The sequence below is a fragment of the Homo sapiens genome, chromosome 1, assembly GCF_000001405.40.
Source record: "Homo sapiens chromosome 1, GRCh38.p14 Primary Assembly".
NCBI lineage: Eukaryota > Metazoa > Chordata > Mammalia > Primates > Hominidae > Homo > Homo sapiens.
In genome coordinates this window covers 172,804,281-172,818,490 of record NC_000001.11, presented here as the reverse complement: position 1 = coordinate 172,818,490, position 14,210 = coordinate 172,804,281, and the positions used below count along the sequence as shown (strand labels likewise).

The 14,210-nt window shown below is 37.6% G+C and overlaps 1 long non-coding RNA gene across 1 annotated transcript; it reads left to right on the top strand.

Moving 5' to 3' along the window:
• Nucleotides 1-793: 793 nt before the first annotated feature.
• Nucleotides 794-2,933, top strand: LOC107985225 (uncharacterized). Its single transcript, XR_001738297.2, has 3 exons — nt 794-938; nt 1,144-1,277; nt 2,363-2,933. It is a non-coding gene; the product is annotated as an uncharacterized LOC107985225 (long non-coding RNA).
• Nucleotides 2,934-14,210: the final 11,277 nt, after the last annotated feature.

Sequence of the window (14,210 nt, the reverse complement as noted above, 5' to 3'; positions counted from 1 at the left end):
CCCTTCTGCTGCTGCTCCGAGTCACTGCAGAGCTCTGGTCACGTGCACACTAAGTGAGGACACCTCAGCCAAACATTGGGCCCTAGGGACAGCAAAGTTGTAGCTACTGACTATTATAAAAGGCTATATTTCTTAATGATTAAGTAGAAGAATAAAAGAGATTAATAAGGGGGAGAAAAAGACTATTACTTCTATCTAATAGTTACTCAGTAAATGGTATTGAAAATTCATAGCACATTGATACAATACTGACTCTGGAGGGAAAATACAAAGCAGGCTTCCAAAGTATCCAAAATAAGGTAATTTTCATTTTCATTTCATATCTAGCAGAATCTGATATTTGCCAGGTCAGGGGTCTTTTCACTCAGGCCTTATTATGATATGGGATTAATAATGCTATCCCTGGGATAATCCTTCCACTTTCACCACCATCAAAAACACCACAATCCTCTGCTTGTCCCCAAACTGTCTGACTACACCAGCAAATAGACATGGCTAGAGGAAAACAAAACATTCTATTTTCATGTTGTTCAGGTGCCTGGAGTACATATCTGGCACATAGTAAATTAAATATCTGTTAACAAGTATTTGTTGTTAAGTTGTTCATTTGTTTTATAAAGACAGGTTCTTGTGAGCAAGAACTGTCACCCATACTGGAATGCAGTGATGCGATCACAGCTCATTGTAACCTTGAACTCCTTTGCTCAAATGATCCTTTTGCCTCAGCATCCTGGATAGCTAGGACTATAGGTGAGCACCACCATGCCCAGCTAATGCTTTTTATCTTTTGCAGAATCAAAGGTCCTTGTATGTTAGGCTGGTCTCAAACTCCTGGCCTCAAGCGATCCTCCTACCTTGGCGTTCTAAAGGGATTACTGGTATAAGCTACTGCACCTGGCCTATTTGTTGTTAAATGAAAACATAGTCTTCCTTAGGAGGTAAGATGAGTGACAAATTACTTGAAAACTTGGTCAGGTGTTTCATATTTATGTAAATTGGTGAGATTAAAGGATGGGACCCATGAATGAGCTTCGGGAGGGGGGTGTCCAAAGTTTTTTGTCTTGTTATTTTCTGTGTGTTTTTAATGAACTCCTCATGTGCTATGAATCAGAAATCTATAGGTTGTATATGTTTTTCTTACAGGATATTCTCTCCCACAAGTACCTTGATGTGCATGAGTGTTAGAATACTACTACATTGTAGAATGAGGTGGGAAGAAAGTGAGATCCTTTGATAAAACAGAAATCTTAAAGAACTGTAATAAGAATTGACATCAGGTACTCAGTCTCTCTCCCTCGATAGTTCTTTACCTCACTTTATAACCTAACAAGTGTGTGCTTTTAGCTTCATTAAACACAGTCCAAGAGTCAAAGGCAAAGCCTCATCACTTTGCCTTTCTTGTCATCCTAACCCAGTAACTCTTTTTTTCTCTCAAGCTGCACCCATTTCCATCATTTGACCTTCTATAATTCCCTCAACCATTCCTTCAAAGCTCAGTACTAATACCCTTTTCTCCCTTATTCCCACTTTTTTCAAAGTTCCCATCTTTTTCTCCTACCCTGAAAATTCCCCACCCCGTTTGTTCATCCCTCTTTATTTCATGCACTTATTCTTACTCACCCGATTTGACCTTTGTATTTGCTTTTCTTGTGGGGTTACCCATATTTTTTACTTTCTCTTTTCCATTTTTGTCACACCTCCTGCCAAAAAACAAACAAACAAACAAACAAACAAACAAAAAACCTTTTCTCCTAGAATCCCACTTCCTTGCTCTTCTCTCTAGGTTATTCTTACCTTTCTGCTCCTCTTGAATTATATAAAGCTTGACTTCTACATTCTTACTTAGAAAGAAAATGTAATGATTCTTAAATGTCTATTACTTGTGTCCTTGGATTTTACCCCAGAACTTTTTCAGCTTCATCTAGAGTTTTTATAGATCAATATTGGCATATAACAGGACCTCCTTGTTTCAAGCTTCTTCCCCTCACATATTCACTATAGTAAAGGAAACCACATAAGCTTTAGCAAATTGGAAGGGACAAAGCTGACAAAACCATAGAACACTCAACTTGCTCTTCTTCTTCTTATTTCCTCCTTCTGTATAACTTCTCTCTGGCAAATTGTGTCGTATTATATCAACTTGCATATGATTGATTCTCATATTATTTTTGATTATAAATAGTCACATATTAGTGACTATTATAAAAGGCGATATTTCTTAATGATTAAGTAGAAGAAAAAAGAGATTAATAAGGGGGAGAAAAAACTATTACTTCTATCTAATAGTTAGTAAATGGTATTGAAAATTCTTAGGACATATATATTCTTTATGTCCTTTTGTTTCTCTCTCCTCTCCTTCTAGGACTCCCATGGTACATATATTGGTATGTGAAAAAATAATGGCAGAAAATGTCCCAAACTGATGAAAATCTTAATCTACACATCAAAAAAGCTCAACAACTCCAAGTAGAATAAGCTGAAAGAGGTACACACCTACACATGTATTAGTCAAACTGTCAAAGATAAAAATGAATCCCAAAAGCAGCCAGCAAAAATGATTCATCACATACAAGGGATCTGCAATGAAATGAACAGCTGACATATGATCTGAAACTAAGAAGGCCAAAAAAGTTGGATGACATATTTAAAGTGCTAAAAGAAAAAGAATCTCACACAAAAATTCTATATTGAGCAAAATTTTCTTTCAGAAGTGAAGGGGAGTTTAAGACATTCTCAGATAAACAAAAACTGAGAAAATTTACTGCTAGCAGATCTCCCTCACAAGAAATAGTATAGGGAATTCTTCAGGCAAAATTAAACAACACTAGAGAGTAACTTGAATCCACACAAAGAAATAAAGAGCATAAGTAAAGTTAAGTACATGGTGAAATTGAGTTTGATATTGTCCAGTCTGAGGAACAAAAAGAAAAAAAAGCGTGAAGAAAAATAAACAGTTTAAGAGTCCTAGGGATCTGGTGAGAGGTAATTGAATCATGGGGTAGTTCTTCCATGCTATTGTCATGACAGTGATTAAGTTCTCATGAGATCTGATGGTTTTATAAGGGCTTCTCCCTTCACTCAGCTTTCATACTTCTCCATGCTGCCGCCATGTGAAGAAGGATGTGTTTGCTTTCCCTTCCACCATGATTGTAAGTTCCCTGAGGCCTCCCCAGCCATGTTGAACTGTGAGTCAATTAAACCTCTTTCCTTTACAAATTTCCCAGTCTCAGGTATGTCTTAACTAGCAGTGTTAGAACAGACTAATACAGTAAATTGGTACCACAGAGAGTGGGGTGCTGCTGTAAAGAAACCCAAAAATGTGGAAGTGACTTTGGATCTGGGCAGAGGTTGAAACAGTTTGGAGGCTCAGAAGCAGAAAGAAAAATGTGAAAATGTTTGGAGCTCCCTAGACTTGTTGAATGGCTTTGACCAAAATACTGATAGTGATATGGACAATAAAATGCAGGCTGAAGTGCTCTCAGATGGAGATGAGGAACTTTTTAGGAATGGGAATAAAGGTCACTCTTGCTAGGCAAAGAGACCGGCAGCATCTTTTGGTTCTGCCCTAGAGATCTGTGAAACGTTGAACTTGAGAGAGATGACTTAGAGTATCTGGTGAAAGAAATTCCTAAGTGGCAAAGCATTTAAGAGGATGCAGAGCATAAAAATTTGGAAAATTTGCAGCCTGATGATGTGATAGAAAAGAAAACCTCATTTTCTGGGGAGAAATTCAAGCCAGTAGTGGAAATTTGCATAATCACCAAGACAATGGGGAAAATGTCTCCAGAGCATATAAGAGACACAGCAGCCCCTCCCATCACAGGCCCGGAGGCCTAGGAGGGAAAAATGGTTTCATGGGCTGGGCCCCGGGCCCCCTTGCTCAATGCAGCCTCAGGACATGGTGCCCTGCACCCCAGCTGCTTCAGCTCTAGCTGTGGCTAAAAGGGGACAATGTACAGCTCAGGCCATTGTTTCAGAGGGCTCAAGCCCCAAGCCTTGGCACCTTATACATAGTGTTGGGCCTGTGGGTGCATAGAAGTCAAGAATTGAGGTTTGGGAACCTCTGCCTAGATTTCAGAGGATGTATGGAAATACTTGAATGTTTAGGCAGAAGTTTGCTGCAGAAGCAGAGCCCTCATGGAGAACTTTTGCTAGGGTAATGCAGAAGGGAAATGTAGGGTTAGAGCCCCCACAGAGACCCCACGGTGACACTGCCTGATGGAGCTGTGAGAAGAAGGCCACCATCCTCCAGACCACAGAATGGTAGATCCACTAACAGCTCACACCATGCACCTGGAAAAGCCACAGAAACTCAATGCCAGCCCAGGAAAGCAGCCTGGAAATGGGCTGTACCCTGAAAAGCCACAGGGGCAAAGCTGCCCAAGGCTGTGGGAGCCCACCTTGCATAAGTGTCCCCTGGATGTGAGACATAGAGTCAAAGGAGATCATTTTGGAACTTTAAGGTTTAATGACTGCCCTTTTGGATTTTGGATTTGCACAGGGGCTGTAGCCCCTTTGTTTTGGCCAATTTTTTTGAATGTGTGTATTTATGCAATGCCCTGTACCCCAATGTGTGTATTTACCCAATGCCTGTACCAAAACCAAGTAACTAACTTGCATTTGATTTTACAGGCTCCTAGATGGAAGGGATTTGCCTTGTCTCAGATGAGACTTTGGACTTGACCTTTTGAGTTAATGCTGGAATGAGTTAAGGCTTTGAGGGACTGTTGGAAAGATATGACGGTGTTTTGAAATGTGAGGACATGAGATCTGGGAGGGACCAGGAATGGAATAATATGGTTTGGATGTGTACTCACCCAAATCTCATCTTGAATTATAGTTCCCATAATCTCTGTATGTCATGGGAGGGCCCCAGTGGGAGGTAATCAAATCATGGGGTCAATTTCCCCCATACTATTCTCGTGATAGTGAGTAAGTTCTCATGAGATCTGATGGCTTTATAAGGGGCTCCCCCTTCACTCGGTTCTCATACTTCCCTTTGCTGCTGCCAGGTGAAGAAGGACATGTTTACTTTCCCTTCTGCCATAATTGTAAGTTTCCTGAGGCCTCCCCAGACATGCTGAACTGTGAGTCATTTAAACCTCTTTCCTTCTTTCCTTTATAAATTATCTAGTCTCAGGTATGTCTTTATCAGCAGCATTAGATTTAACTAATACAGACATCTTTAGAACACTGCTGCCTTCCACTTCTCCACCATATCAAGAGCAGAATACATGTTTTTCTCAAGAGCACATGCAGCATTCTCCAGTATTGACCATAAGATAGGCTATAAAACAAATCAATACGATTAAAAGGTTGAAATTATATGAAATACATTTTGTGACTACAGAAAAAAAGCTGTTTTTCTGTACTCACAGAACTTTTGACAACAAATGTGTGGATTTTCCACAGCAAATAATTATCCAATGCTCAGTGGGTACCAACTGGGTATCATATAATTCAATTCAATTCTGACTCTGTCTACTTGGAGTTAGCACCAGATCTCACAAGTTAAGGGGCTCAACCACACACATACTTCAGTCAACAATTACATGTCCAGGCCTCCTGTACCTCTGGCTTACCAGCTATAAATCAGTTTCCCACAACCCCCTCCTCAGGGTTGATCATTTGCTTTGTGAAAGTTATCAGAATCAAAATGGAATCACTTGTGTTTAAAAAAAAAACTGAAAAATAGAGCTGGGAAAGGGCATGAAGAGGGAGTTCTCATACTTGTATGCCTGATAACAAAACTATCACAAAAGAGAGCAAAAACCACAACCTTACACAGAGGCCATTGCAGCCTTACACAAAAATACTTATACGAGGATATCTGCCCAGAAACCACTTGGCATCACCCTTTTTATTGATCCTTGTAGCCAAGGATAATCATTTCAAAAAAAATTATATAATCCTCTTCAGTCTTCTTGTTAAAACGTTTGTCTTCCTTTGCCTCCCTGAGTATGCACAGTTTACTATGGCACACATATTCCCATTGCAATGCCCTATTCCTGAATAAATATCTTTTTCTTTTAGAGAGGCTCTGTATATTATTTAGGTTGACTTAAGTGATGTCAGAAATGGGACCTGAAGAAAGATCACTATCACAAGAAATGGTTGATTCTTGGAACCAATATGCAGTACTCAAAAGAGCTCTTTGAGCTCACCACTTCCATATCTTGCCTTTTCTGCCCTGGTGAGTCTTCTCTTAGGCCAAGCCTTCCTATTTTTGGTAGAGGCTTTGGATATTATTTGAAATGTAGTTTGATTGTAAGGACCTCTTAATAAAGAACCTTACATGCCTTCTGCAATGATTAAAAAAAAAAACTTTTTGCCTTCTCTAGTAAATCCTTCCTGGTATAAAGACAGAGTACTCTGGTTTCTGCTTTTTATCTGTGAGGCATATCTTTTCTGGTGAATTCACTTTTGGCCTGTATGCCTAATTCAATATTTTGTTTTATCTGCATGCCTGAGTTAAAATTTTTGTGAACACCTTTATCTTGGTTTGATTTAATTTGGTCTGTAAATGATTTGGCTCTTTTCCCTTGCTTATTTGCAAAAATCTCCCAAGAGCAAAATAAGCATTCTAAGTGATGCATGCAAGATGGCTAATTAAAAGCAACTATGGCAGTCATTATCATCTAAACTCCTGACATTCCCTGACAGAATTTATAGGATTTTCTTTGCTCTTAAGAAATTAATAAGACATAGAATGGGTTTCTCAAACATTGAGGCATGCCAGGTTTTCTGGGAATGCAGCTAGCTACATATTATAGTCTCTTCCCATGAATATTTTTAAACTGATGGGCAAATTATGTCAAGGAAAGTGTAGAATGCAGGTGGTCATTATTCAAAATCTCTTTAAAAATATCTGTAACTGTAGAGTTAACATGCAGAGCCTACTGAGTTCTCTATCTCCCTTTTTTTCTGCCAACTTTGAATCTGCTGACTTTTCTACTGGTGTTGAGATAAAACTTACCGTCTATTGCATTCTAGTCAAGATTTTTTTTTAGGGTCCTTAAAGGGCTTTCAAATTAATGACTTCACAAATTGCAACAGCTTCATGGTAACCAACAACCTAGGTGCCATTTGGAAAGGTAAATTTAGGTTTTCTTGATCGACAATCACTTAGGGGATGAAATAGCTAATTCATCTAAAAGGAAAGAACTAGATAAATATGTTTATAAAGGTGAGGCTTTCAGATCAAACAGGTCACAATCCTGAACTCAGAGCAATAATATAAGGCATCTTTGTCCCGCACAAAATGTTTATTGTGTCTGCCATACAGGGGCCAAAAAGAAAATTTAAAAACTGCTAAAATGCTCCCCTACCCACAATTGACTGACTAGTCAAACAAACCAGTCCAGGAAACAAAACAGATCCAAGGCCACTTGGAGATTTTTTTTCTTATACAATTCAGCCAGTCCTAGCTAAAATGTAGACATTGAAAATTTAACTCTAAACTCATTTGAAAATGTAAAAAGAGGAACATGTGGTAAAAGAGGTTTTGTAAAAATCAAACTGCTTCAGAATTGCTTTACCCAAAATTTTTGTCCACAGCCTTCACCAGATTAACTATTGGGGCAAATAAAGTCTAGCCATGTGAACAGGTTCCAATTTTGTCAGAAATACAATTTGATCCCAATAGTTTTTTTTAGTAGACAAGGAAATTTGTATTACTATCTCATGACTAACATTCTGAGATGAAATCTATAAGATCTTTGTGTGTGTGTGTATATATGTGATTTGATGTGTTTAATGCATATGTACATATATTGTGTTGTATGTTGTGGCTACATGATAAAATCTGGCAGTCAGCCAGAAATCCCTTAAAGAATTCTATTAAGATTGGCTTACAAACCAGGATCAGATTGATTCACAGCCAAATTCTACCAGATATACTAAAAAGCTGGTACCATTCCTACTGAAACTATTTCAAAATATTGATAGGAGGGACTCCTCTCTAACTCATTCTCTGAGGCCAGTATCATTCTGATATCAAAACCTAGCAGAGACATAACAAAAAAAGAAAACTTCAGGCCAATATCCTTGATGAACATTGATGCAAAAATCTTCAACCAAACACTAGCAAACTGAATTCAACAGCACATAAAACAGGTAATCCATCATGATCAAGTAGGCTTTATCCCTGGGATACAAGGTTGATTCAGCATACACAAATTAATAAATATAATTCATCACATAAACAAAACTAAACACACTAATCACATAATTATCTCAATGGATGCAGAAAAGGCTTTCAATAAAATACAGTATACTTGCAGATTAAAAACCATGAATAAACTAGATAGTGAAGGAATATACCTCAAAATAATAAGAGACATATATGACAAACCCATAGCCAACATTATACAGAATCTGCAAAAGCTGGAAGCATTCCCCCTGAAAACCAGCACAAACAAGGGTGCCCTCTATCACCGCTCTTATTCAACATAGTATTGGAAGTCCTTGCCAGAACAATCAGACAAGAGAAAGAAATAAAGGCTATTCAAATAAGAAAAGGGGAAGTCAGACTATCCCTGTTTTCAGATGACATATTGCTATATCTAGAAAACCTCAGAGTCTCTGCCCAAAAGCCACTTGAGCTGATAAACAATGTCAGCAAGGTTACAGGATACAAAATCAATAGCAAATCAGTAGCATTTCTGTATATCAACAACATCCAAGCTGAGAGCCAAATCAGAAATATGATCCCATTCACAATTGTCACAAAGAGAATAAAATACTTAAGAAAACAGCTAGCCAGGGAGGTGAAAGATCTCTACAGCGAAAATTACAAACACTTCAAAGAAATCAGAGATGACACAAACAAATGGAAAAACATCCCATGCTCATGGATAGGAAGAATTAATATTGTTAAATGTCCATACTGCCCAAAGCAATTTACAGATTCAGTGCTATTCCCGTCAAACTACCAATGACATTCTTCATAGAACTAGAAAAATTATTGTAAAATTTGAATGGAACAAAAAAAGACCTTGAATAGCCAAATCAATCCTAAACAAAAAGAACAAAGCTAGAGACATCATGTTACCCAACTTCAAACTATACTACACACAGTAACCAAAACAACATAATTTAGGTACAAAAACAGACACATAGAAAAATGGACTAGAATAGAGAACCAAGAAATAAGGCTACAAACTTATAACCATCTGATCTTTGACAAAACTGACAAAAACAAACAATGAGGAAAGGACTTCCTTTTCAATAAATGGTGCTGGGATTAACTTGCTAGCCATATGCAAAAAATTGAAACTGGACCACTTCTTTACACCATATACATAAATCAACTCAAGATGGATTAAAGACTTAAATGGCAAACTCAAAACTATAAAAACTCTGGAAGATAACCTTGGAAATACCATTCTGGACATAAGAATGGGCAAAGATTTCATGACAAAGATGCCAAAAGTGATTGTAACAAAAGCAAAAATTGACAAACAGGACCTAATTAAACCAAAGAGCTTCTGCACAGCAAAAGGAACTATCAACAGAGTAAATGGACACCTCCAGAATGGAAGAAAATATTTGGAAACTATGCATCTGACAAAGGTCTGATATACAGCATCTATAAGGAACTTAAACTTACAAGCAAAAAAAAAAACAAAAAATCTTATTAAAAAGTTGGCAAAGGACATGAACAGACATTTTCTAAAGAAGACACATGCAATGCAACCAACAAGCATATGAAAAAAATGTTCAATATCGTTAGAGAAATGCAAATCAAAACCACAGTGGGATATCATCTCATACCAGTCAAAATGGCTACTATTAAAAAGTCAAAGAATAGCAGATGTTGGTGAGGTTGCAGCAAAATGGGAATGCTCATACACTACTGGTGGGTGTGTAAATTAGTTCAATCATTGTGAAAAGTGGTGTGGTGATTCCTCAAAGAGGAAATACCAAACAGAAATACAATTTGACCCAGCAATCCCATTACTGGGTATATACAAAAAGGAATATAAACTGTTCTACGATAAAAACACATGTGTGCGTATGTTCACTGCAGCGCTATGAACAATAGCAGACATGGAATCAACTTAAATGCCCATCAACATCAGGCTGGATAAAGAAAATATGGTACATATACACCATGGAATACTGTGCAGCCATTAAAAAGAATGAGATCATATCCTTTGCAGAAACACGGATGAAGCTGGAGGCCATTATCCTTAGCAAACTAACACAGGAACAGAAAAGCAAATACCCCATGTTCTCACTTATAAGTGGAGCTAAATAATGAGAATCAAAAAGCACAAAGAGAAGAACAGCCACTGGGGCCTACTTGAGGAAGGAGGTTAGAAGGAGGGAGAGAATCAAAAAATGTAACTATCAGGTGCTATGCTTAGTATCTCAGTGAGGAAATAATCTGCACAACATGCTCCCATGACAGAAGTTTACCTATATAACAAACCTGCATATGTACCCTTGAACCTAAAAAAAAAGTTAAAAAAAAGACAACGGAAGAAAAAACTACTTTAAAGTTCATATGGAACCAAAAAAGAGCCCGCATTGCCAAGTCAATCCTAAGCCAAAAGAACAAAGCTGGAGGCATCACACTACCTGACTTCAAACTATACTACAAGGCTACAGTAACCAAAACAGCATGGTGCTGGTACCAAAACAGAGATATAGATCAATGGAACAGAACAGAGCCCTCAGAAATAATGCCGCATATCTACAACTATCTGATCTTTGACAAACCTGAGAAAAGCAAGCAATGGGGAAAGGATTCCCTATTTAATAAATGGTTCTGGGAAAACTGGCTAGCCATACGTAGAAAGCTGAAACTGGATCCCTTCCTTACACCTTATACAAAAATCAATTCAAGATGGATTAAAGACTTACATGTTAGACCTAAAACCATAAAAACCCTAGAAGAAAACCTAGGCATTACCATTCAGGACATAGGCCTGGGCAAGGACTTCATGTCTAAAACATCAAAAGCAATGGCAACAAAAGCCAAAATTGACAAATGGGATCTAATTAAACTAAAGAGCTCCTGCACAGCAAAAGAAACTACCATCAGAGTGAACAGGCAACCTACAGAATGGGAGAAAATTTTCGCAACCTACTCATCTGACAAAGGGCTAATATCCAGACTCTACAATGAACTCAAATAAATTTACAAGAAAAAAACAAACAACCCCATCATAAAGTGGGCAAAGGACATGAACAGACACTTCTCAAAAGAAGACATTTATGCAGCCAAAAAACACATGAAAAAATGCTCATCATCACTGGCCATCAGAGAAATGCAAATCAAAACCACAATGAGATACCATCTCACACCAGTTAGAATGGCAATCATTAAAAAGTCAGGAAACAACAGGTGCTGGAGAGGATGTGGAGAAATAGGAACACTTTTACACTGTTGGTGGGACTGTAAACTAGTTCAACCATTGTGGAAGTCAGTGTGGCGATTCCTCAGGGATCTAGAACTAGAAATACCATTTGACCCAGCCATCCCATTACTGGGTATATACCCAAAGGACTATAAATCATGCTGCTATAAAGACACCTGGACACGTATGTTTATTGAGGCATTATTCACAATAGCAAAGACTTGGAACCAACCCAAATGTCCAACCACTATAGACTGGATTAAGAAAATGTGGCACATATACACCATGGAATACTATGCAGCCATAAAAAATGATGATTTCATGTCCTTTGTAGGGACATGGATGAAATTGGAAATCATCATTGTCAGTAAACTATCACAAGAACAAAAAACCAAACACCGCATATTCTCACTCATAGGTGGGAATGGAACAGTGAGATCACATGGACACAGGAAGAGGAACATCACACTCTGGGAACTGTTGTGGGGTGGGGGGAGAGGGGAGGGATAACATTGGGAGATATACTTAATGCTAGATGACGAGTTAGTGGGTGCAGTGCACCAGCATGGCACATGTATACATATGTAAGTAACCTGCAGAATGTGTACATGTACCCTAAAACTTAAAGTTTAATTAAAAAAAAAAAGTCTAACAGTTCAAAAAAAAAAAAGTAAAAAAGGATTGGTTTACATAAATGAACACTCATATAAAATGTACACTAATTCAACCAAATGCCTTCAATTTCACACAACTTTAGTAAATTCTTAATAAATAAGCTGGTTTAAAAATTATTAGTAAAATAAAAATAGAGATATCTTTAAATTGTCAGCATATATTTTTGCCTGGGTTTACTGATCAAACATTCTTATATATGTCTCTCCTAGATGTCTTAAGATATCAATGTTTGTCACAAAGTTTATAAAACTATAAAACCAACCTAAAATAGAATGACTCTATTTGTGCAACTCTTTAATAAGTAAGACTAAGTTAATATTATTGGTTTAATAAAAATACCTCTATCTTCTGAGTTAAATTTGAGGCTCTTACTTAGGTGAACACCTGATACTCATAAGCTATAAAAATTGTTGACACAGAAATAATTTGAAAAGATTCTAGCTTTGTCTAATATTTCAGTTTGTATACTCAATTGATGAATTGCCTAAAATAAATAAATTAGGTAAATGTAAATGGGATAAACATTTATAAATAAACTTTTTACATAATATGAAATCTCAAAGTTATGTTAAATTAAATAATAGATGCTGATTAATTGTCTGGGTCATTGTCACATAGGATTTTTAAAACCAGAAACACATTACTGGACATAAATATAAGTTTATTCTTGGCTTCTTAAATTTTATGGGAAGACTAAATATATTAGGATTTATTAATATACATAAAAATTATGTTATGGAAAACCATGTGCTTAAAAACTATAAAATGATTCTTATCTATTAAATAATGACATGTGAGAGACATTTAAACATTTCTTGCTTCCTTGATTTCTACTAAAGTTAAAGATACTAAGAGTTGAAATTCTAATTAATGTATGTAATTCTATACACAAATTGTACCAAAAAGTAAGATGTGTTTTTCATTTTAAAAATAACTTTTTTTTTTTTTGAGACAGAGTCTCACACTGTCACCAGGCTGGAGTGCAATAGTGTGATCTTGGCTCGCTGCAACGTCTGCCTCCTAGGTTCAAGCAATTCTCCTGCCTGAGCCTCCCGAGTAGCTGGGACTACAGGTGCATGCCAACATGCACAGCTAATTTTGTATTTTTAGTAGATATAAGGCTTCACCACATTGACCAAGCTGGTCTCAAACTCCTGACCTCAGCTAATCTGCCTGCTTCAACCTCCCAAAGTGCTGGGATTACAGATGTGAGCCACCGTGCCCAGCTGGTCTTGATTATAAATTATAAAATCTGTTTCTTTAACAGCTACCCTCTAAACTGCAGACAGTTTCTATTTTTGACACATTTTTTTCTGAAATCTATTTAATTTTTCCAGTTCAGGTTTAACTAAGAAATGATAGTTTCATGGAATGGTAATTTCATTTCTCAAGGTAGTTTTCCCCTTGAAATTTCTCAAATTCATATTTCAGAGGCTCACCTCTTGCTGTATCTTGCTGCATGTATTTTGCAGTTATGCATAATTGCCTTCAGCTCTCCTTCCTCCCCTTAAAAAGTCGTATATTTTGGCCAGGCATGGTGGCTCACACCTGTAATCCCAGCACTTTGGGAGGCCAAGGCGGGTGGATCACCTGAGGTCAGGAGTTCAAGAACAGCCTGGCCAACATGGTGAAATTCCGTATCTACTAAATACAAACAATTAGCCGGGCATGGTGGTGCATGCCTGTAATCCCAGCTACTCGGGAGGTGGAGGCAGGAGAATTCCATGAACCGGGGAGGCAGAGGTTGCAGTGAGCTAAGATCAGGCCACTGCACTCCAGCCTAAGTGACAGAGCCAGACTCCATCTCAAAAAGAAAAAAAAGGTGTATATTTTTGTTTGGCTTGGATAATAACTCTCCTTCAACCTTTATGCCAGTTCCTGTGACTTTTTTCTCCTCTTCTAACTCTGCTATTCTAACCTGATGCTGAAATGTTTATCTTGAAGTCCTAGAAAAGCAATGCTTTCCTCCAGTATAACTTGATTCTGTACTCTTGACTTTTCTTGCTATGTTGGAATTGTCCAACGTAATTGTGTACAGAATTGGTCCCTTCCAGTGGGTTCTTGGTCTCGCTAACTTCAAGAGTGAAGCTGTGGACCCTCGCAGTGAGTGTTACAGTTCTTAAAGATGGTGTGTCTGGAGTTTGTTCCTTCAGATGTTCAGATGTGTCT